Source organism: Homo sapiens, chromosome 9, assembly GCF_000001405.40.
Source record: "Homo sapiens chromosome 9, GRCh38.p14 Primary Assembly".
Classification (NCBI taxonomy): domain Eukaryota; kingdom Metazoa; phylum Chordata; class Mammalia; order Primates; family Hominidae; genus Homo; species Homo sapiens.
In genome coordinates, this window is record NC_000009.12 from 93,667,249 (window position 1) to 93,690,441 (window position 23,193).

Consider the following 23,193-nt stretch of genomic DNA (forward strand, 5'->3'; position numbering starts at 1 on the left):
CACCACCCGGCAGCACCCAAGAGCGGGGACCAGGCAGGCCCAGGGCTGGCCCTCGGCCATGATGGTGGGAGCCTGCGAGGCAGACGCACAGCTGGAGCCAGTGCTGAGCCGCCCCTGGGCCTGGGCAGAAGGGCACACCTCAGATGTTGGACTGGTTCGTCCCACTGGGGCTTTCCTTTCAATCAAGGGCTTCTTTTTCTTTTAATTTTTCGGGTAAATTCAGAACCACAGGTTTTCAATTTTATGTGCCGAGACTGTTGTTTTTTTCACGTGGAAATCTTTTGGGAATTTCCACATGTACTACAGACGGGTAACTCAGGGGGCAGAGGTGTAGCCCCCTCCATGGTGCCCCTGGGCCCATGTCGGGGGCTGCAGCTGCCATGGGGAGCACAGCCCTCCTGGTCTTCTTGACAGCTGCAGATTCCCATTGCACAGATGGGGAAACCGAGGCTCTGAGGGCTTATACTTGCACGTGGGCACACTGCTAGGAAGCAGCAGAGGCAGGCCCAGAATTTCCATCTGCCTGATTGCAGAACCTGAGCTTGGGGGTCCTGGGGGGTTGACTAATGCTGGGCAGTGATATCCGGGTGTTTGCGGCTGGTCCCTTGTCCAGCAGTGACTTGGATTGAGGAAGATGGAGCCTGTGCTTGGGTCCTGCTCAGTTCCCAAGATGTGCCTCAGAGACTCTGTGGTTTCCAGAATCCATGGGCAACCCAGGGCCATGCTGCTAGCTGCTCCACACAGCCCCAAGCTTGTTCAGTGGGCAGGTGGAGGCCTGCTTTTAGACAGATGGGGGGCTTGGGCAAGGTAGATGAAGGGCTTGATTGAAAAGAGCTTTTGCTAAATCAATTGGCCGTACTTTCTTTCATATATTACTATTTTACATGCAATATTATGTTCATGTAATATTGATCAGAAAGCCAGCTGTAAGGTGCTTTTATTTTAATGGGAGTGAAGCATGACAGGAGGCTTCCATAGCGCCTTAGGGGACAGATTTCCTGCTTGGCACTAGGTGGTTCCTGTCCATGTTAAGCCCCTTGCTGCAGAGATGTGCTTGTGGCTGGGGTTGAAGCCTGGCTGTGAGCTCCTCCTCCCTGTCGGAGGCTGTGGTGCTTCACACAGCTCTTTGGGGGATGCCTGTCTTCTGGGAAGAAGTATGCACTAGCTGACACCTCAGTGACTGGCCTCAGGGGCAGGAGAGGCCCCTAAACACCCTAGGCCCCTCCCGAGGTCCATGGAGAGGCCTGGGGGTCCTGGGGGTTGGGGGTGTCTGAGGCCACCCAAGATGAGGGCAGACAGGGCCAAAAGCCTGGGGGCCACCAGGTGCTTTATTGTGGGCACCTGGGACTTGCAGGGGGAGTGGAGATGGGGACAGAGGTGGGGAGGGTTTTGTGCTCAGGTCTGTGAGGAGGCGCTGTGTCCTGGGCTCCCCGCTGTGAATCTGAGCCCAGGAGTAGGGCAGCCCATCTGTGGACACACTGATAACAAAAGACCCAGAGCTTCCCCGCCCCGCACAACTAGCCCGTGCCTCGGAGCAGTGTGCACGTGCACATGTGCCTGCTAGGGGCCACTGAGGCCGCCGGCCCCCCTCAGCCCGCTGCAGGCAGTTCCTCTCCCAAAGTCTCCCATTTGGAGCGTAGGTCAGTTTTTGATGGTCTATTTGCTCTGTTTTAAGTATCGGCTGCTTGGAAAAAACTGCTGAAGAAAATGGAGGAAAATATGTTAATTTATTGTGAATAGTTTGCTCAGTGTTTATTGCTGGGGGAAAAGGAAAGGATTTGAGTATGATAATTGGTGGATTAAAAGTATTATTTTCCATGCCGACTAGTTAGACGTTGCTCATTGATTCACCAGCAACCCTGCGGGACCTGGGCATGCAGTCCTCACCCTCTTGGGTTGCCCAGACGGCATGGCATGGACCCTCGTAGTGGGTGTCCCTGGCCACCCCCCAGCCCCCCGTGGCTAAGTGCAGGCCCCCGCCCTCCAGTCTGTCTGGGCCTTGCAGGCCAGTTGAGGGGTCGGGGCAGGGCCTGCCAGAGGATGCAGGGCAAGCTGCGTGCTCTGGCTGGCTCCTGAGCTGGGGCTGGGAGAGCCTGCTTCTGCGGAGATGTCAGTGAGGGCAGGAGTGACTGCGCTCACTTAGGCAGGCCTTCAGTGCTGCAGCTTGTGTGGCAGGGGCAGTGTGGTCCTGGCACTGTGGGGGCAGCTCCCGGCAGTGCCTTCTGAGGAGTGCTTGAGGCTGACCATGCTTGATTTTCCCATTGTTGTGGCTTTCACACCTCAATCCTGCTCAGTCCCTGTGAAACCCAAAATGCAACGCAGTCCAGTATGTCTCAGACAGGGCCTGGGAGGTGGCATTGGTGAGGGCTGCAGTGAGGGCGCCTGCCCCGGCACTGGGCATCTTCCTGAGTCTGCCGGACCCTCAGAGAGCAGTGGGTTCGGGCCTCAGCACTGTCCAGCATGGGTAACTTTTGTCCAAGTTGCCTCACCAGCCCTAGGACTCCCTCTGTGTCTGGGCTCCCTGTGGCAGCTTCCTCTCCCTGTCCTGCTGTAGCAGAGCCTCAGTCTTGGGAGCCCTCTTGCTTCTGAACCAGGACTGGTCCTGGTGGGGCCACTGCCCTGGGTGCCTCAGTCTCTGTGTCTGGTAACAGAGGTGGGCACAGGCATGCAGAGCTGGGTGGCCCGCCTGCCACTGTATTGGCCTCTTCCTTCTTGTCTCACATGTGTGCTGTCTCTGGCAAGGGGTTCTGGGTATACAAGCCCCCATTACAGTGCCTGGATGTGCTCACAGCCACAGGCTTCCCAGCCCCTCTCATCTGAATGGTTTTACTGAAAGTGCCTCCAGTGCTTCTGGGAAGTGGTGGAGAGGGGATGGGCAGCTCGAGAGACAGTGATGCTGATGCAAGAGTCCTGAAGGGGCAGGTCCAGGGAGCAGAGGGAGAGGACGGCAGGCACCCCGTGTGCCCCAAGTATGGGCCCAGGAGTGGCTAGATGCAGTGACAGGTGTGGCTGGGCCTCCCCTGTAAGGTGGGGCGGGCTGCCTTGTCCTGGGGCCAGGTTTGAGCCACAGGGAAGTGGGCAGGGGTGAGGACTAGAAAGGGACGTTGCAGGGTGTACCTGCTGGGCTGGACCACGTGAGTGGTGGGGAAGCCTGGGGCACCTGTCCTGGCTACATACAGCATCTGGAGCCCAGGGCAGGCCCCTGACTCAGAGTTTCTGGGTGGGGCCTGGGCCTTGACATTTATAAAGCTTCCCAGGTAGTTCTGGTGCACAGACAGGTGAGGGTCCTGGCTGCAGGGGGTTGTGGGCGGTGGGGCAGGGCCCTGTGAAGAGGCCAGGGCTGCATCCCATGGGAGGGCCTGGCAGGGAGGTCCCCAAGGAGCCCAGGACTTGGCCTTGGGGGTCCTTGCTGTCCAGCAGCACCAAGCCCCTGGTTCTGTGGGATGACAGTGGTCACCCCATTTCACCACTCTGTGAGCCTAGACAGGCTGATCACACACTGGGTGTCTCAGAAGATTCTTCTGGAAGGAGGGGAGCCAGTGTAGACAGGAGGAGGTGTGTGCATAGGCATGGGGCAGAGGAGGAGGATGCGGATGCGAGACAGGCTGGGCGCTATGGGAGGGGCCACCTGAAGCTGAGGGCAGCGGGGGTGCAGACAGGGCAAAGAGAAAGCCTGGGAGTCTGTGTGGAGCCTGCCAGAAGTGGGTGAACTTGGACTGAGCTGAGGTGCAGCTGTGTCTGTTCAGGTGCAGATGCAGCTGCAGGTCTATGTTCAGGTGGGTGCAGGTGTGGGGGTAGGTGCAGGTGTAGATGCAGGTGGGGGTGCAGGGTGGGGGTAGGTGCAGGTGTAGACGCAGGTGGGGGTGCATGTGTGGGGGTAGGTGTAGGTGCAGATGCAGGTGTGGATGTAGGTGTGGGAGTAGGTACAGGTGTAGATGCAGCTGTGGGTGTGGGAGTAGGCACAGGTGTAGTTGCAGGTGTGTGGGAGTAGGCACAGGTGTAGATGCAGGTGCGGGTGTGGGAGTAGGCACAGGTGCAGATGCAGATGTGGGTGTGGGAGTAGGGTCAGGTGTAGATGCAGATGTGGGTGTGGGAGTAGGGTCAGGTGTAGATGCAGGTGTGGGTGTGGATGTAGGTACAGGTGTAGATGCAGATGTGGGTGTGGATGTAGGTACAGGTGTAGATGCAGGTGGGTGTGGATGTAGGTACAGGTGTAGATGCAGATGTGGGTGTGGGAGTAGGTACAGGTGTAGATGCAGGTGTGGGTGTGGATGTAGGTACAGGTGTAGATGCAGATGTGGGTGTGGGAGTAGGGTCAGGTGTAGATGCAGATGTGGGTGTGGGAGTAGGGTCAGGTGTAGATGCAGGTGTGGGTGTGGATGTAGGTACAGGTGTAGATGCAGTTGTGGGTGTGGATGTAGGTACAGGTGTAGATGCAGGTGTGGGTGTGGATGTAGGTACAGGTGTAGATGCAGGTGTGGGTGTGGATGTAGGTACAGGTGTAGATGCAGATGTGGGTGTGGATGTAGGTACAGGTGTAGATGCAGGTGTGGGTGTGGATGTAGGTACAGGTGTAGATGCAGATGTGGGTGTGGGAGTAGGCACAGGTGTAGATGCAGGTGTGGGTGTGGATGTAGGTACAGGTGTAGATGCAGATGTGGGTGTGGGAGTAGGGTCAGGTGTAGATGCAGATGTGGGTGTGGGAGTAGGGTCAGGTGTAGATGCAGATGTGGGTGTGGGAGTAGGGTCAGGTGTAGATGCAGATGTGGGTGTGGGAGTAGGCACAGGTGTAGATGCAGGTGTGGGTGTGGGAGTAGGTACAGGTGTAGATGCAGGTGTGGGTGTGGATGTAGGTACAGGTGTAGATGCAGGTGTGGGTGCGGATGTAGGTACAGGTGTAGATGCAGGTGTGGGTGTGGATGTAGGTACAGGTGTAGATGCAGATGTGGGTGTGGGAGTAGGCACAGGTGTAGATGCAGGTGTGGGTGTGGATGTAGGTACAGGTGTAGATGCAGGTGTGGGTGTGGATGTAGGTACAGGTGTAGATGCAGGTGTGGGTGTGGATGTAGGTACAGGTGTAGATGCAGATGTGGGTGTGGGAGTAGGGTCAGGTGTAGATGCAGGTGTGAGTGTGGGAGTAGGCACAGGTGCAGGTGCAGGTGTGGGTGTGGGAGTAGGCACAGGTGCAGGTGCAGGTGTGGGTGTGGGAGTAGGCACAGGTGTGAGTGTGGGAGTAGGCACAGGTGTACATGCAGGTATGGGTGTAGGTACAGGTGCAGATGCAGGTGTGGGGGTAGGTATAGGTGTAGATGCAGGTATGGGTGTAGGTGTAGGCACCAGTGTAGATGGAGGTGTGGGTATGGGTGTAGGCACAGGTGTAGATGCAGGTGCGGGGGTGGAGGTAGGTACAGGTGTAGATGCAGGTGTGGTTGGAGGTACAGGTGTAGATGCAGGTATGGGTATAGGAGTAGGTACAGGTGTAGATGCAGGTATGGGTATAGGAGTAGGTACAGGTGTAGATGCAGGTATGGGTATAGGAGTAGGTACAGGTGTAGATGCATGTATGGGTGTAGGTGTAGGAACAGGTGTAGATGCAGGTGCAGGGGTGGAGGTAGGTACAGGTGTAGATGCAGGTGTGGTTGGAGGTACAGGTGTAGATGCAGGTGCAGGTGTGAGGGTAGGTACAGGTGTAGATGCACGTATGGGTATAGGAGTAGGTGCAGGTGTAGATGCATGTATGGGTGTAGGTGCAGATGCAGGTGTGGGTAAAGGTGGGGGTGTGGAGAGAAGTTGCAGGTCACTGGGGAAAGCGTGTGCCATGGGAGGGAGTGGGCTACGCTGCCCCATCTCAGGGTGACACATGGGAAGGTTCCCTACAAAGTGGGGTAAGGAATGCCCAGGGCTAGTTCTGTAGTTGGGAGAGAGGCACAGGGTGGACCGAGGGGGTACACAGAGTGGCTGGGGTGCAGGAGGAAGGTCACTGAGTCGGCTTGCTGGCTTTAAGGTGTGAGAGACCAGTGCGTGACCATATGAGGGTCTGGACCCTCCTTCCCATCTGCTGTCTTCCGTCTCCTCTCCATGCCCATCTCTGTCTCCAGGCCTCCAGCCCTCCCTGTGGCATATGGGTGGATGAGCAGAGCTGGATGAGGGGAGTGGCTGGCCTCTTCCAAGGGAGAAGTCATCAGCTCACTGCCACCCTCTCTGCTCCACGCCCTCTGCCTGCCACCTGGGCCAGGAGTTTGTGCAGGAGTTTGTGCAGGCCATAGGCTGTTGTTTAAGTGCCTGGGCTGCAGGCCAAGAGCACTGGGCTGAGTGCCTGTCTCTCTGTGCCCCTAGCCAGCCCCCGGCCTCCCCCAGCACACAGGAAGCCATTCAGGGAATGCTGTCCATGGCCAACCTGCAGGCCTCCGACTCCTGCCTGCAGACCACGTGGGGAGCTGGCCAGGCCAAGGGGAGCTCGCTGGCTGCCCATGGTGCCCGGAAGAATGGGGGTGGCAGTGGCAAGAGTGCAGGCAAACGACTGCTGAAGAGGGCTGCCAAGAACAGTGTCGACCTGGACGACTACGAGGAAGAGCAGGACCACCTGGATGCCTGCTTCAAGGACTCAGACTACGGTGAGTGTCACTCCTGCGTGGGGCAGGGCCCATGCTCAGCCCTAGAAGGCCTGGCTGAGAATGGAGACAGTAGCATAAACATGCAGCTCTCCAAGTTACAGCAGGCCTCAGCTCAGCAAAACCCTCGGCCTCTGACTGCTGTCCCCGGAGACCCTCCTGTGAGCGAGACTGGCCGGGGCCCACATCTGGTGGACAGGCTTGGGCTTCGTGGTGGGGCCTACTCTAGTTTGACAAACAGAATGACAGCAAAGTGAACTCCTGTTTTCTGGGCTCTGGAGGTGTGTGGCACCGGGCGCCATCTTGCTTCCTCCTGAACCTTGGGTCCTGGGCATTCCTCGACAGGCCCCGGAGGTTGAAGGACCACAACCTGCAGTGAGTGTAGGGTGGCACTTGGCTTTTGAGGGTCACAGGGTCACCGCCTCACCGTGTTGGGGCAGCTCCCCACCAGCCACAGGTCATGCCCTACAGTGTCCCCTCCACCTAGACCCGCCAGGCAGGGTGGGGGCTGTCAGAGCCCACCCTCCATGGACGTTAGACGTTTTCCCTTTTCATAGCAACGGAAGGAGTTGTGAGGAGTTTTCACCAAACAGAACCTTTCCTGGAGCCTCAAAGTGTTTCTCTTGCAGGAACTGAGATGCCCTAGTTTGATTATGGGGTCCCATCCTTCCCTGGTTCCCCACTCTCTGCTGTAGCTTCCTCCAGGTGGGGCCTCTGGGGATCTCAAGCTCCATGAACAGATGTACGGAGGGCAGCCCTTAGAGGCCAGGGGCTTGCAGGCACTGGGGCTAGGCTGCACAGATGAGGCTGGGCAGGTAGATGCAGGTGCCTTCTTGTCTGGAGAGTCCCTGCCCCTCTGGATAATCTCTGGGGCCTGTGCCCATGCCTGGGGTGTCCTCACCATGGGCAGCTTCCATCACAGCTGACAGTGACACAGCGTGGCAGGCCTTAGTGTAGGCCCTGGGGTTGCTGGCGAGGAAGGTCTGCAGCCACCTGTACCCCCCCGCCCTCCTCCGTGGACCTGCCCTGCACTCAGCGGGCCACGCCTTCCCTCTGCCTCCCTCTAGTTTACCCCTCACTGGAGTCAGATGAAGACAACCCCATCTTTAAGTCCCGGTCGAAGAAAAGGAAAGGCTCAGACGACGCTCCCTACAGCCCAACAGGTAGTGCTGGGACAGGGGTAGGGGGTCCACCTGACACCCAGTGTGGAAGCTGTGACTTTGTCTGTGGTCCCTCCAGCCCCTGAGAATGTGGGCTCAGCTCTGCACCTGTCCTATCCTGAGGGCTGGGCAGCCCGTCCCGCTGGGGTTGGTCAGCTGCTTGCAGGAGTGCCGTGGGCTTCACTTCTGCTTTGCTTCTGGGGGCCTGGGAGCCCAGATGTGCTTCTACACAGCCCCAACTCAAAAGCCCTCACTCCTCTGGCTGGCTCCTCTCTGGTTTCTTCCTCAATGGGCAGCTCTGTGAGGGTCACCTTTGTACCGGAGGCACCCACTTGATGGTGGCTGAGGGACACCTGCTGGGGCAGCCAGTGGGGTGAGGCCTTGTCCACCTTCCACATTACCCTCACCCGCCTGCCCAGACTCTGATGTTGCTGGGCCTCCTGGGCTCTGCCCCATGCAAACCCCACTGTGGCATCTTCCCCCTTGGGTGGGGCAGCTGACCCTGCCCTATTGTGAGGCGGCTTCACAGCCAGGAATCCCTGTGCTTAGGCCTGCCTGGCCAGGGGGACAGGCTGGGGTGGGGGCAGGGTAGCCCCAAACCAGGAGGGGTGGACAGGCTGTGGCCTACAGCTTGAGGGGGCTGGCCCTTCTTTTCCACAGCAAGGGTCGGCCCATCGGTGCCAAGACAGGACAGGCCTGTGCGTGAGGGTACACGGGTGGCTTCCATCGAGACCGGGCTGGCGGCTGCTGCAGCTAAGTTGTCCCAGCAGGTGAGGAGGGGCGAGAAGGACACACGGCAGCCAGGTCCCTGCTACCCCCACCTGGTGGGCTCAGGTTCCCCAAGGCACCTGTTTCTCCACCCCATACACAGACCCACTGAGCCAGGGGTGGTCACAGGCTTGGGGACATTTGATTAGAGAGTGCCCTATTCCTCCAGGCCCTAAATTCCCCGTGTGGGGTCCGGGGGAGCTAGGAATTGACGACTGGGGCCCTGACACTGGACAGCCCTATTCGTGCCAAGGCTGGGCTACTCTCTGGTACAACAGCAGCTTGGAGGGAGCTCCCCTTCCCCTCCCCCCATCATGTGGGTGTTTTTGAGTTGTCCTCAGTTGGGAAATGAGGTGTTCTGTCTCTACATGCTCCTAAAAATCTCATCTCCCACCTTTAGCTCCTCCCAGCTCAGAAATGGAGGGTCCTAGAGCCTCACATACCCTCCCAACCAGGCCCAACCTCATCTGGGCACACAAGGAAGTTATTAGGATCAAAGTGAATATTCTTCCAGAACTGGGAGATGTATATGGCCACTGAGTGGGGTGATGGGGTAGGAGTGCCATCCTACAGGCTCAACTGCTAGGTTAACTCACACTGACAGGGAGGCCAGGCAGCTGCTGTGGGTGCTGGCGCCCTGTCCGTGTGCATGCTGTGCCCCTGGCGGCCCAGAGTCAGGCCTCAGGCCCCTGCTGCCCAGCCCTGCTGTGCTCAAGGGCCCCTGGCAAGGCCATGCCGGGAGCTCCCTGCTCTGTTGGCCCAAGTGGGCTGTGCGTCTGAGGCTGCCCTGCATGTTTTGTTCAAAGGAGGAGCAGAAAAGCAAGAAAAAAAAGAGTGCCAAGAGGAAGCTGACTCCTAACACCACCTCCCCTTCCACCTCCACCTCCATCTCTGCCGGCACCACCTCCACCTCCACCACGCCAGCCTCTACCACCCCGGCCTCCACCACCCCGGCCTCCACCAGCACGGCCAGCAGCCAGGCCTCGCAGGAGGGCAGCTCGCCAGAGCCCCCGCCTGAGTCGCATAGCAGCAGCCTGGCGGACCATGAGTACACAGCCGCTGGCACCTTCACCGGGGCCCAGGCTGGCCGCACCTCCCAGCCCATGGCCCCTGGGGTCTTTCTCACACAGAGGCGGCCCTCCGCATCGTCTCCAAACAACAACACCGCTGCCAAAGGTACTGTGCCTGCTGGAGGGAGCCTGCAGCCCCCCTGCCCTGCCTGCCCCCATGGGCAGCCCCAGACATGCAGACTCGGCCCATGGTAGAGGGCAGCACATTGGGAGGGCTCCTGGGCCTTGGGTGGCAGGGTGCTGTGGTCCAAGTTGGTTGCATCTTTGTGTGAGCGTATCCCACAGTACAGGACGTGTGCTTTCATCCTTCTGCTCAGTGGGCGTGCTCAGCCCCTGATCTGCCTGCACCCCTGCACCCCAGCCGTGGGGCCGGCCAGCTGTGGGGACTGAGTGATGCAGCACGGGGTGCTGGCAGTGGCTCCTGGCCTTGTTACTGGGGGTGGTGCCCAGGCATCCTCATGTCCTCCTCATAATGCCATCCCCAAGCCCATGTCCATCCTACCTGCCAGGGCCCCTTGAGGACACGGCCTCTGAGGCGGAGGCTTTGCCAGTGATCCCAGACTCCTGAAGGGTGCTGAGCTCGGAGCTGGGGCTTCATAGGCCCATTTTACAGATGGGGGACTGCAGGCTGCCCCTTAGTGTCAGCGGGACCCTCCCCCCCACCGGCATGCCACGCCCCTTGCCATCTAGCTTACCTTCCCTTTTTGTGTCCCCTCCCCGACTCCCCTAGGAAAACGTACGAAAAAGGGCATGGCGACCGCCAAGCAGAGGCTTGGGAAAATTTTGAAAATTCATCGGAACGGGAAACTACTCCTTTAAGATTTGGAAAGCCAGGATCCTTCTGCTCCGCTCAGGACCCCCGGAGCCCCGCGAAAACATCTGCCTCCCAGGAGGGTGCCGAGCTGCCTCACCAGGGAGGGCCTTGCCTCTTCCCGGCTGCCATCTCCCCAACAAGCGTCTGTCCCTTCAGCCGGCAGAGCGAGCCCAGCGTGGCCCCTCAATTTGAAAATGGACGTCTTTTCTCAAGTTGCTAAGAGTGATCTGTCCCAGAAAAGCGGCCCTGCAAGTTTGAGGACCGCTTATTCCACTTTAAGGACAGCCTTCAGGCCCCCTGAGCGTGGGTGTGATTGCAGGGCCTCTGCAGCTCTGCTGAGAGCATGAGTCCTTCAAGGAAGACAGAGTGAGCCAATGCTCACCAGCCCCAGAGTCAGAGCTGGCCACAGGCTGGCAGCCTCCAGGGGCTTAAAAAAAAAGGCAAAGAACACAGAAAGAGGAGGAGCAAGTGGGATGTTTATGTCCCCCCTTCTCTTCCTGAGTGATTCTCAGCCAAGTCCAGACAGTGCTCGGCGGGTGAGGAAGGGTCTGCCCCGAGCTTTCTGGTTGGCAGGTGGCAGCAGGATGGTGGGTGTTCAGCCTGAATGCCCAGGAGCATTTCTGGGGGGCAGCTAAGACTGGCAGCTGGGTTGGTGTGTTAGCGGGCAGGGGAGCCATTGTGGGGTCCCCAGGAAAGGGCAAGGGCTCAGCCACATCTTGGGGTCTGGGAGGCCCAGGCTAAGCCATGTGGCAGGGACCGTCTTGCCCTGCTGGCCACACTCTGGAGAAGCACTTCTCAGCCAAGGCACCCCTGCCCTGGGACTGGCAGGGCAGGGGCAGGGGCAGGGACAGTGGCCAGGCGGCCCGAGGACTTACGGTCGGCACTTCTCTGTTCTCCCGTGTCAGCGTGTGGTGTCGCCTGCATGGGTCGTACCTGGATGGTGTGTCCACCATCGACACGGAGGGGCTGGATTTGTTTCTCAGGCAATCCTGTATTTTAATTTTAGATGTATTTCCTGAAGCATATTTTTCATAGAATGTAGCGTGTAAATAGCTTTTTAAATAACTTCTTTTTTATAAGAGTAAAAGTATCTTTAGGAATTTCTTTCTATAGAGTTCTTCATTAACATTTATACGAGTTTTTTGCTGAGTCAGATGGACAGTTGGGTTCTGATGCTTTTTCCTTCTCCTTTCCTTTTATTATTATTATTTTTTTCTTTTAAGAACTAAGGTATTGCCTGAAAAACAAGTGATGTCTGTGCAGCCTTACACTCTGTCTTTACAGAAGCAAATAGTACACAAAAGATCTATTTCAGACACATTTTGAAGATGAATCTTCAACTTTAATACCAGCTCTTTGTTTTCCTTGTATGATGAGGGGATTGGGGGATACAGTTATTTTACTAGCACCTTGTGAAGTGTTTCCGTGTTTTGTGATGCTGTAATTTATTAATGTTTGTAGCTTTTTATATTTGTACATTTCTTATGAGCTTTGTTTATATACCCATTACCTGGATGTTTTTGTCCACTGGGAGAGGCAGCTTGGTGGAGGCCTTATCCACTCCCACTTGTCCTGTTTGGAGGGACGCAGTCCCTAGGGCCCGAGACTGGGTGGGAGAGGGGGAGTCTCACGGGGCCCCAGGCTTATTCAGAACTGGTGTTTTTAAAGTTTCCTTTACCCTGCCCTTGTTGAACATTTATATAATCTAACCTGGACATCAAGCTGTTCTCTCTCTCTCTTTTTTTTAATTTTATTATTATTATTTTGGCAACATGTACATTTCTAACAAAGTTTATCGTGGCTATTAAAGTGTTTTATTTCCCAATTCATATTACTCTTGTATCGAGTCCATGAGGTCTAAGGCAACTTAGATCAAAGTTTTAAAAAAGTAAAAATATTTCAGGTTTTGTACAGAACCATGTCTGTGTCATTTCTGCCTCGACTGTAGTTGTTCACCCTGGCAGTGAGGGTGGTGGGGAGGCTCCAGCCACCTGCGTTCCTCATGGAAAGCTTCGGGTTGCTCAGCCAAATCACACACAGCACCCCAAGCTGGCTGGCAGGAGTGGACAGAAGAGACCCTCGGGGGCTGCAGGGGTGGCAGCAGCGTTTGTCAGTCCCAGCCCTGAGGATGTCCTTGGGAAGCCTCTAGAACCTTCTTTTGGACTCAAGGGTATGGCGTTTGGCTGAGTCCAGTAGGCACACACATGTGCACCCCAGCACGGATGCACACCCAGAAGCATTCAGTCCCTTGCACGGTTCTAGCCTAAGTCTGATGTGATTACAGCTAACTACCAGGAACAGCCCTTACCTGACAGAGGCACTCAAATGGTGCAAGCCCAGGGAGGGTGCTGAGCGCAGGGGTGGGGTCGCTGCTCGTGATGTGTGGCAGGCAGGGCTGCTGGGACACAGGTGAGGCCTGGGTCAGTCTGTTGGTGGGGGTGCATGCGTGGGGGTGCTGGTGACAATGTTGAGGACCACGGATAAACAGGCCATTTGGCGTTTATTGAAGAAACATGAATAACCTCGGGCCATTTGGGCAGGCAGATGCTGAGAATCAAGGGGTGTGATGACGGCTGGACTGGCCCAGGCCCCCACACATGGGGTCTTGCCCTGGGATGGGAGCTGGGAGTGGGATAAGCTGGAGACAAGTTTGGCCTGGGTCACCCAAGGTTGCTCAGCTTGCAGGTTGCTGAGCAGGGTCGGCCCTGGCTGCCAACACCCTGAGGAAGCAGGATCTCCAGTAGACCCTGAGCAGAGGGCTCTGCCGTGCTGGGTGTCTGACCCACCACTGCAAGATTCTAGGGGTTTTGTCAACCCGCAGACCTGTGGTCATTCACTCCATGCAGTTTGTCATGTGGCACAGGAAACTAACCCAAGGCTGCCCTTGGGCAAGTCCTTTCTCGCTCTGAGCTTTGTTTCCTCCAGTCCCTGCTGGGTGCTCCGGGGGATGCTCCCACCACGCATGGTGGTCGAGCCCCCAGGAGGAACCCCTCCAGGACCTGGGGGCTCCCCAGGATAGGGCGGGGTCCCAGTGCTGCCCCCAGGTGGTGCCTGGGACCCATGCTGGGGCTGCCCAGGCTGCCAGGCATTTTGGATGCCCCTGGGCTGTGGGCACTCCCACAGCCTGAGCCACTCCGCTGGACTCCACAAGAGCTGGGTATCCTCTGCACACCCCCAGGCTGCCTGGGAAGCTGGCCTGTCCTTGCCAGGTCCAGCTAGAGACTGTCCTATGCTTCCCCCAGGAGTCCCTGCACCTTCAGCCCCGCAGCCACTGAGATAAAGTGTGCAGCGCCCTTCAGGCCCGGGCTCTGGAGCTCCAACCACCCTCAGTCTGGCCGGCCCCCTGGGCCCAGCATCTGGATCTTGGTGGAGCTGTCTGGGTGCTAGTTGGGTCCACCTCCACCAAGCACTGCTGTTAGGACTCACAGGAGCTGAGCACCCTGGGCCCTGGAAGGGGCTTCTGCGGCTGCCCAGCATCTCCTGGAGCCCAGGCTCCGCCCTGTGCTGCACTCGGGCCGGCCCAGTGTCTCGAGCCCAGCCCCCACTGAGTGCCAGGCAGCCTGTGAGCCAAGTGTCATGCAAGGATCCTGCCCAGGTGTGCGGCACACAGACCTGGACATGCATCTCTGGGTGTGCGCCTGCAGCCGGGAGGCCAGGGGCCCATGTGGCCCCAAGCATGCCCCTAGCTGTGGCTCTTCCCCTAACCTTGGTGTCGGTGCTGACTGCCCTATGACAGTGAAGTTGGGAGGGTGAGGTCTGGGAGGGAGCTGCCGACCAGCAGCGGACTTTGTGGGTCACGCCTCTGAGATTCAGGCCTGTCTGTCCCTGCAGCCTGCCCAGCTTGGCCTGAGCAAGTTCAGTGCGCAGTGCAGTGAACACACACAAGCAAACTGCCCCCGGTCCCGCCCTCCAAAGCTCGCTGGATTCCACAGTTGTTTACTGAGTGGCTACTGTGTGTCCGAGACTGTGTGGAGAACCTGCCCCAGACTTCACCATGACTGACAACCTGGGGCAGGTGTTATCATCAGCCAGTTCTGCCCAGGAGTCCACCGAGGTTCAGAAGAGGCACCCGCTGCTCACGGTAGAGCGGGACCCACACCTGCCGCCTGGACCACAGGATCACAGGACCACAGGACAGCGTGTGGGGGAGACATGCCTCCAGGTGGGAAGGGCAGGTCTCCAGGGGCGCCTGGAGCTGACCATAGAAAGTGATGTTTCTAGCAACATGAGCAGAGGTAGAGGCAGGCAGCAAGACCCTGGGGTTGTCAGACATGGGCCCTGTGGGCTGAACAGAAAGGAGAGTCTGCAGCGGCTCAGAGCAGGGCCCTGGGGCCACCGTCACAGTGGAGGGATGCGTCAGGCCCTTGGGGAGCCCCGCAGTTCGGGAGCAGGTGGAGTGAGCTCTCCAGGACTACAGCCTGCTGCTGGTTGGCCAGAGGCGAGGGACTCTTCCCCTGCCCCTGCCATGTGCCCATCATCTCCATGCCTGGTGGGGAGCTCAGAAACTCGGCCAGGTCAGTCTATTCTGCAGGACCCTGCCTATATATGTGCCCACATCCTTTCGCCCCGGCTGGACCCAGAGCCGGTCCCTGAACCTGCAGTTGGCAAAACAGGGTTCAATTTGCGAACCTTTGGGGCCATACCCAGAATAACCACCGGGGGGCAGGGCAGGGCCGGGAACAAGGAGGACAATTGTGTGAGGTTATTTAGTGCCTGGGGCTGGGGCGGGTGCTGGGACTTAAGGGCTAATGGCAGGCGTGATGGTAACTATGGGCCAAAACAACAACAACAACAAAAAAACAAGCATGCTGTGAGTGCTGGGAAGGAAGGCGACAGTAAAAATCAGCTCAGCTTAGTCATTGATGCACATGTGCTCTGTTACCTTGTTCATGCTTCACAGTCGCCCCCCAAGGGAGATCCCCTGAGCGTCTCTATTTTACTGATGAAGAAACTGAGGCACAGAGTCTCTCAGCTGCTAGAGCAGGAATTTACGTCCAAGCAGGTCAGCTCCAGGGCCTTTGGGCTTATAAGTGAGACCTGCAGAGAGACATTCTGCAGCCAGCAGCCAGGAGGCAGCTTGCAAGGCCTGCGGAAGGAGGGCTGTGGGTGTGGGGCAAGGGGCGGTGCAGGAGCAAAGGCCCTGAGGTGTATGGCTGCAGCGAGGGCCTGAGCCAGTGGAAGAGCAGGGTGTAGCTCGGAGCTCAGCTAAGGGGCACCAGCGCTGTCTCCACAGCGGCTCTCTCTTTACCACCCCTTTCCCCTAGATAGGCAGGTCTCTTTCCCCTGCCTGCCCCAGCCTAGCCTAGCCTGAGCTCTGTGCCCATCCCAGACTCTGCACAGCCCTGGGCAAGGAGCCTGATTTGTGGATGGTGACACTGAGGCAGGTCTTGTCAAAGACATATGGCTGCCAAGGGTCTCTGCCCTCCTTGTTCGCAGTATCAAGAGGCTGGAGGGTAGTGTGGAAGGGAGAGTTGAGAGGGCTTACGGTACAGGGTTAAAAAGAGAGAGAGAGATGTTGCTGATTTTAAAATCCAAGCTGTGTTCCAGTCTTCGCGAAAACAGTCTCCTTAATAATAATTCCCAGTGGTGACGGTGACATAAGTACTCAGACGGAAGGTCTCAGATATCCGGGTCCAATACCGCTGGTCTTGTCCAGTGACCCTGTGGCCAGTGTGGTCACAGTTCCTGAGCACCTACTGTGTGCTATGCAGGGCACTACAAGCTTTCCTCTGGCTGGCTGACCACTTAGCATGCTCCCTAAGCCCCGGCCCATGGAGGGAACAGGGCTGGGTCATGGGCTGGGCAGGCTTAGACAGTCTGGCCTGGGGGGCCTTTGAGCAGAGCCTTGAGAGCCTGAGAGAAGAGTGTAAGCAGAGGGGACAGCCTGTGCCAAGGCCCTCAGGCAGGAGCCAGCTTGCTGGGGAAGAGCCAGGAGGCAGTTAGGTGAGGAGAGGGCACTGAGAGCCAGCAGGGCCAGGGTTAGAGGGAGGCTTCATCCCCTCAAGCCCTTGGCAGGTCCTTGCCCAGCCTGGCTGTGTGGCCTTGGAGGACAGCCTCAGCCTCCTCATCTCCAGAGTGGGGGTGATGGCGCTGACCCACATAGAGTTGCTCCAGGGCCCACGCTTCCCTGTGTGCCCCCCACTTCCCAACAGCCCCTTGTGGAGCACTCTTCTACCCTTCTGCAAGCCCTGCTCAGAGGGTCTTGCTCACTGTGTGACCTTGGGCAGGTCACTTTCCTTCTCTGGGCCTCTTTTTTTTCCCTCTGCCTTGCTGACGGCAAGGCTGCCTCCACCCGGAGGGGCAGGGGAGGTTCCCACTGGAGCTGAGGCAGGGGAGAGGTGTCCTCACCCAGGCCTTGACTTCTGCCCTCTAGGCCTTATCGAGAGTGGTGATGGCCTGCAGCGCTGCCTTGGGCGACCAGGCCTGGCCCGAGAGCTTCCGTGGGTGGACCTGGCACTGAAGCACAGTAGGAGGTGCAGGGGAAACCATGTCCTGGACCTCAGGCCTGTACTGATGCTTAAACACTTACTGATTTCCAGTTTTCGGTTCTTTCTCACATTTTGCAGTACATTTTTTTCTTGGCCGCAACTTAAAGTTTTTGTCTGCAGAGCCCTGTGGCCAGAGGGACTGGCTGTGGTGACTGGGGTGCAAGGTGGGGTGCCCTCAGGGGCCCAGCTGGGCTGCGGATGCCTGATGGATGCCCCCTGGCAAGCCCCAGCTGCCCCATTGAGCCACCCATTGCCCTTGAACCCTCTTCCAGGCCGAGTCCCACCGTTGCCTCATCCAAACAACCCCAGCGATGCCACCTCGGTAGAAAAATGATGCTGTTCCATTAACATCTGACACGGATTTGCAGGCCCCAAACAGACGAGCGAGCTGTAAACACCCGGTGCTGGCTGGGCCCTCGCCCGGCCTCCAAGTAGGATCCTTGTCATTAATCGTCCTCCCGCCGGCCAGGCTGGGCCCTGGGCCCCACTGTCCAGCCAGTGCTATTCCAAAATCAGAATCCTCCTTGTCCCCTGCAAACTGCATTTACCAAACAATGGACTCGCCGGCTTCGCAGGCAGGAGCAGAAAGAGAGCGTGCACCCCACTTCTGGTGCTGATGTGGGTGGTGGAGGTCCTGGTGCTGCCTTTGCCCACTGTATGACCTGGGGCCTTGACTTCCTGCCTATAAAATACAGCAATACCCCTGGTTTCCTGAGGGTCTTGTGAGAATGAGAATCGAGGGCCTGGTGTGCCACGATTCCACCTGCCCGGTGTGCTCTTGGGGACAAGTCTCTCAGGCTGCCTGGTTGGGAAGGGTGGGCTGCCAAAGGGGCCGGCAGCTCCACAGAGCCCTCTTGTCAGCACGCCCTGCCTGGGAGCAGCCCACTGCGGTGCTGGGTGATTTCTGCTCATTGTGGCTGATTTAATAAGTGTGTGAGGCCACCTCCATGTTGTTACCTATATCTTTTTATCCAGAAGAGGAAGGATTTTGTCCATGTGTTGTCCAGGAGTACCATGTGTGTACACCAATGTGAGGTTTTGTCCACTTGTGAAAGGGAAATCTTACATAAATGTGCAGTGACTCACATATTTGGTAGAGGAAGCTTTGGTCTGCGACATGCCCAGGAGTACATTTGTATTTCCTTCCTTCCGTCTTGGGCTCCTTTCTGTTAGAGTTTAGGAAAACTACATGTCTGTGCCTCCAGGGGGCCATCGGCATCTCTGCTCTGCTCCCTGGGCTGGCAGGGACCCCAGTGGGGACAATCATCTTACCTTCCAGCGCCATCAGGATTACAGAGGTAAGCCACCTTAGCTCAGTGTCAGACGTTTACTGGGATTATTATCATTGCTCAAAAAAGCCATTTATTTCACCTTTACATCTGGGGAAAAAGACAGTCCTGTTTCCTTATTATTTACTTTTTAAACCACGCAGCTCTGCTCCACTGGGATGTATTGTAATTTGCTGCAGAGCACTGGGATCGCCCTGATATATTCCCCGTTGGTATCCAGGTATTTGTGGCACATAAATACACAGAAATTACTTTCCCTGAAGATGGGATTTTCCCGGTGTAAAAGTTTAATCAATGTCTGGACTCTGCTTGTCCAGGGTTTCCAGGTGCAATGCTGGAATATGTTCCCAATCTACCAGATCCTTATTGTCCTCCTTGGATTGATGAGCTGCAAACCCATGAAGCAAACCTGAAGGCTGTTGATGACCTCAGGCTGCATCCACTTTCCCTGTTCAGGGAGGAGGGGTGCGATCTCCTGGTCAAACCCTCCCTTTTCCCCCAGCTCAATGCAGACACTCTCTGGGCTTAGCTCTCCACTTCACTCTGGGGCGGGTCATGGGGTGGGGGGGGTGTGCAATCTCCCAGGACCCCCTACACCAGCCCTGCCCTGTCTAGGTCTCCTGATTCCCTTCTTTATTGCTCCAAATTCAGCTTTGAAACAGTATTTCCTCTGGTCACTTTCCTGCTCAACCACCATCTGTGGCTCTTCACTGTTACAGGATCCTGACACTCTGTGTCAAACAAAGGATCCTCCATTGTTTTGTACTACAACTCTCACAGCCCCAGCAGGGCATCCTTTGCGCAGTCATCAGGCCTCCCCAGGCCCATTTCACCCCTGAGGATGGTCTCCATTTGACCTCATGTTAGCTGGCGCTGGGGCCACAGTGGTGAGCCAGCTGTGGTCTTCCCCTTGGGGAGCCCCAGCTCCTGGGCAGGTAAGGGCCTCAGTGGTCAGTGGGTAGCAAGGTGAAAGGAATGGCCAGGGACCCTGGAGGAGAAAAGGATTGGAGACCAAGGTAAGGAGGGGCACACAGGGAATTTTAGAAGAGGAAGTGCCAGAATGGAGTCTGACAAGAAGAGACTGTGATTCCAGGTGGGGAAAGAGAGTGTCAGAGGAAGGGGCTCCAGGCAGAGGTACCCATGAGTGCACAGTAGGGTCCAGAGTGAGAGCAGGGAAGGACAGGGGGCAGGTCTGGCGACTGGCCAGGCTGCTGGAGAAGTGCGACGTGTATGGGGCAGGGGCTGGGCCCCAGGCTGCGCAGGGTCCTGGGGCAGGTGGGGATGGAGGAAGGAGCTGCATTGAGCTTGGCCCTGCAGATGTGGATTAGGACACACAATGTATCTGAGTGGCCCTTCTGGGGTCTGCGGTTATCGCTGTTGCCTCCTCCGAGACCCTAGTGATTCAAGGCCTGAGGGTGCACAGGCAGGCAGTCAGGGGCATGGTCAGGTAGCAGGGGGCTGGGTCTGGCCACCTCTACCACAGTGGGCTTGGCTGGCCTAAACAGGCAGGCCAGGGGCTCCTGGAAGTCTAGATGGCAGAGGGCAAGGCTTGGGATTGTCCAACCACAGCCTGTGCCAGACAAGTGGCCTCTGGCCCTCCATCCCATACTCCTCTGAGGGTGACCATGTCTATCCTGGGTGCTCAGCCCAAACTCGGCTAGACTGCGAATTGGAAGCTGCCTTCCTGGGCCAGCCTTAGGGATGGGGCCTGGAGAAAAGATTTCCCCTCTGGCCTCAGTCTTAGCTCTGGGTCCGAGGCCATAGACCAAACCAAAGAGAAGTAGGAACACAGCTCTGAGGCTGTCAGCTATTGTCTATGGCCCCCATCCCCTGGCAGTACAGTAAGCAACTGAGGCCAAGTGACACCAAGTGACATGGGTGTTCTCATGGCCCATCCAAAAGCAATCATACTTCAGGCTTGTGGGAGAGACAGATCCTCCCCCACTAGGAAGCCCTGTGGAAGTCCAGGTAATGAGAGCATTGAGATTTGAGCAGGATGCTTCAGGGTGGATTACTGAGTTAGAAGCTCCTTCGAGAAGCAGAAGTGGGAACAGATGGTAAGGGTTGAGGGACCAAGAAGAAGGGAGGTGGTTAACAAGTCTTGAGCTGGGGCCAAGGCCAGAGTCATGAAGAGGACAGCATAGATTTGAGAGCCACCTGTCCTCCTATAAATCCTGGGAAGCTTGGAGAAAATGCCTAGCTAAGAGAAATGAAACCAACTGAGGAACAGACCTCCCATTCCCCAGAGCGGGACCATCCAGTAGAACACTCTGCAATGACAGAAATGTTCATATCGTGCCATCGAGCACTTGAAATGTGACTAGTGTGACTAAGTTATGAATTTAATTTTTTTCTCTTTTTTCAAAATTGAGTGGATCTGTGGAACAAAATTTTAAATTTTATTTAATTTTAAATTAATCATGTGAAAAATCAAAGAAACAGAAAATAGAAATGCAAAAGAGGAAAATCAATGAAACAAAAAATGGGTTCTTTGAAAAGATCCATAACATTGATAAACCTCTAGCTAGAAAGATTAAGAAAAAAATGTAGAAGGCACAAATTACTATTATCACAAACAGAGGAGTGGCCATTACTACAGATCCCGCAGGCATTAAAAGAATAACAAGTGAGTATTAGGATCAAGCTTATACAAATAAGTTTGACGAATTAGATGGAAAAATTCCTTGAAAAGCACAAGTAACCAAAACTGATGCAAAAATAGAAAATCTGATTAGCTCTTGCCATATTAAAATTGAATTCATAATTAAATGTCTTCCAACATTTTATAAAGATATGGTATATAAACTCTTTCAGAAAATAGAGGACGAGGCAAAACCTCTCATTTTACAAGGCCAGCATTACCCTGGTATCAAAATTATAGACATTAAAAATAAATTACAAAGAAAACTATACACTTATATTTCTTATGTATGCAGTCACAGATTCTCCACAAAATACTAGAAAACTAAATCCAACAATATATACAAAGGATAATACATCATGTTGAAGTGATGTTTATCTCAAATCAATCAGTGTAACCACACTAAGAGAATAAAGAAGGAAACCATATGACTAAAAATCACTCGATAAAACTGAATACCCATTCAAGACAAAAGTTTCCAGAAATGTAGAATTAGAAGGGAATGTCCTCAGCCTGATAAAGGGCATCGATGCATACTTTGTGGTAAGGAGAATGAACACTTTCCCCCAAGAACAGAATTGAAGTAAGAATATCCACTCTTAGCACTTCTATTCAGCTTTGTACTTAGCCAATGTAATAAGGCAAGAAAAATAAATTATAAAAAACATTTTAGATGGCACTCACAGATGGCATTATTATATTTGTAGAAATTCCTCAGGAATCTAGTAAAGAGCTACTGGAACTGTTTTGAGCAAAGACCTGGAGCATGAATCAGTTTTGTGTGTAATGGCCAAAGGAGGAGGCAAAGAGAAAAAGTAATAAGACTGGAAAGATTGGCAAAAGCCAGTTTATCAAGGTTATAGAATACAAGTTCAATACTAAAAAGTCAATTGTATTTCTATAGGCTAGCAATGAACAAATGGAAAATGGAATTATAAAGCAATACTTTTTACAATAGCATAATAAAGATGAAATATTTTGGGATGAATTTAACAAAAATATTTGCAAAGCCTATACCCTAAAAACTACCAAAACTGTCAAGAGAAACTGAAGAAGGCTTTAAACGGACAGACAAAGTGTGTTTACAAATTGGAAGAGTCACTATTTTTAAGATTTTATTTCCCCCAAACCAATCTATTCACTTATTGCATTTCAATCTTGGCAATATTTTTGATAGAAATTGAAAGATATTGACATAGAAATATGAAGGACCTAGAACATCCAAAACAAATAATTTTCCAAAAGAACAAACTTGGAGAACTACACTGGTTGATGTCAAGAGTGAATATAAAGTTATAAAGACTTCTTATTAGCTGGGTAAATAAAACAGTGTAGTAGATAAAGAAAAATGCAAATGAATGGAATATTCAGAAATTAATTCACATGCATATGGTTAATTGAGTTTTAACAAAAGTATGAGGGCATCTCAATATGGAAAAGGAATGTCTGTTCAACAAATGATGCTGGAAAACTAGACATCTGCCTAAGGGCAAAAAAGTGAACTTTTACTCTTAACTCATACCATACACAAAAATTAAGGCCAAAGGGATTCAAGGCCTAAACTTAAATGTTAAAGCAATACATTTTCTAGAAGAAAACATAGGAGAAATCTTAATAAACTTGTATAGGCAAAGGCTTCTTAGACTGAACACAAAAAGAACAAAACGTAAAATAAAAAAATTGACAAGCTGGACTTCAAAATACATTTTTTTGTAAGTTTCTAATAAAAAAATTAAAAGGTAAGCCATGGGAAAGCTATAAACCTACAGATAGAAGAAGCTAAATGAATTTCAAATAGGATAAACCTAAAGAAATCCACACCAACCAAGACACATTACATTTAAACTTATGAAAGTTACAAAGACAATGTCTTTTTGAAAAAAGTCTGAGAAATGGCACATCACCTACAAAGGAGCACCAATTCAAATAACAGCAGATTCTTCATCTGAAACCATGGAGTTCAGAAGGAAGTGGTGCAACAGTTTTCAAGTGAAAGAAAAGAGCTGTCAACCCCAAATCCTGTACTTAGTGAAACTATCTTTCATGAATGAAGAGGAAATAAAGACACTCTCAGATGATCAAACACTAAGATAACTTTTTGCTAATACATCCACTCTTAAAAAAATAGCAAAGAAGAAAATAATAACAAGAATACTGGGACCTTTAGAAAGGAAAGAACAACAACAAAATAGATAAAAATTAAAAAGACAAAAATAGAAGTAAATGAAATAGTTAAAAATAGAAGTAAATTCTTCAAAAGAGTTTCTTTAATCATATTTTGTGGTTGAAAAAAGGTAATAGTATCCTCAGATATGGTGTTCAATATATGTAGAGGAAATAATTAGGAACATT

The 23,193-nt window shown here is 54.1% G+C and overlaps 2 protein-coding genes across 8 annotated transcripts in view, besides 2 other annotated features; both read left to right on the forward strand.

Moving 5' to 3' along the window:
• PHF2 (PHD finger protein 2) overlaps positions 1-12,339 on the forward strand; it is a 103,004-nt gene extending 90,665 nt beyond the window's left edge. For all 5 annotated transcript variants that reach the window (XM_005252051.3, NM_005392.4, XM_006717143.3 and 2 more), the window contains exons 18-22: positions 6,337-6,614; positions 7,679-7,774; positions 8,432-8,541; positions 9,346-9,715; positions 10,340-12,339. In XM_005252051.3, coding sequence (XP_005252108.1) covers positions 6,337-6,614; positions 7,679-7,774; positions 8,432-8,541; positions 9,346-9,715; positions 10,340-10,428 — 943 coding nt within the window. In that variant the 3' untranslated portion in view covers positions 10,429-12,339. The remainder of the gene's footprint in view (positions 1-6,336; positions 6,615-7,678; positions 7,775-8,431; positions 8,542-9,345; positions 9,716-10,339) is intronic.
• LOC124902215 (keratin-associated protein 5-5-like) lies at positions 3-6,330 on the forward strand. Of its 3 annotated transcripts, none has more exons than XM_047424314.1 (3): positions 3-4,171; positions 4,242-5,435; positions 5,472-6,330. In XM_047424314.1, the coding sequence occupies exons 1-3, from the start codon at positions 3,811-3,813 to the stop codon at positions 5,855-5,857; spliced, it is 1,941 nt and encodes a 646-aa protein (XP_047280270.1). In that variant the 5' UTR covers positions 3-3,810; the 3' UTR covers positions 5,858-6,330. The 3 variants fall into 3 exon arrangements, with proteins under 3 accessions (XP_047280270.1, XP_047280269.1, XP_047280267.1); XM_047424313.1 differs by having other exon boundaries at positions 4,242-5,183; positions 5,220-6,330; XM_047424311.1 differs by having other exon boundaries at positions 4,242-6,330.
• Positions 2,413-2,926: an enhancer, noted in NCBI's record as "H3K27ac-H3K4me1 hESC enhancer chr9:96431943-96432456 (GRCh37/hg19 assembly coordinates)". NCBI's record gives its function as "activates a minimal SCP1, AML or CMV promoter by ChIP-STARR-seq in naive H9 embryonic stem cells {active_cell/tissue: H9 hESC(naive)}" and the evidence as "EXISTENCE:reporter gene assay evidence [ECO:0000049][PMID:30033119]".
• Positions 11,097-11,596: an enhancer, noted in NCBI's record as "H3K4me1 hESC enhancer chr9:96440627-96441126 (GRCh37/hg19 assembly coordinates)". NCBI's record gives its function as "activates a minimal SCP1, AML or CMV promoter by ChIP-STARR-seq in naive H9 embryonic stem cells {active_cell/tissue: H9 hESC(naive)}" and the evidence as "EXISTENCE:reporter gene assay evidence [ECO:0000049][PMID:30033119]".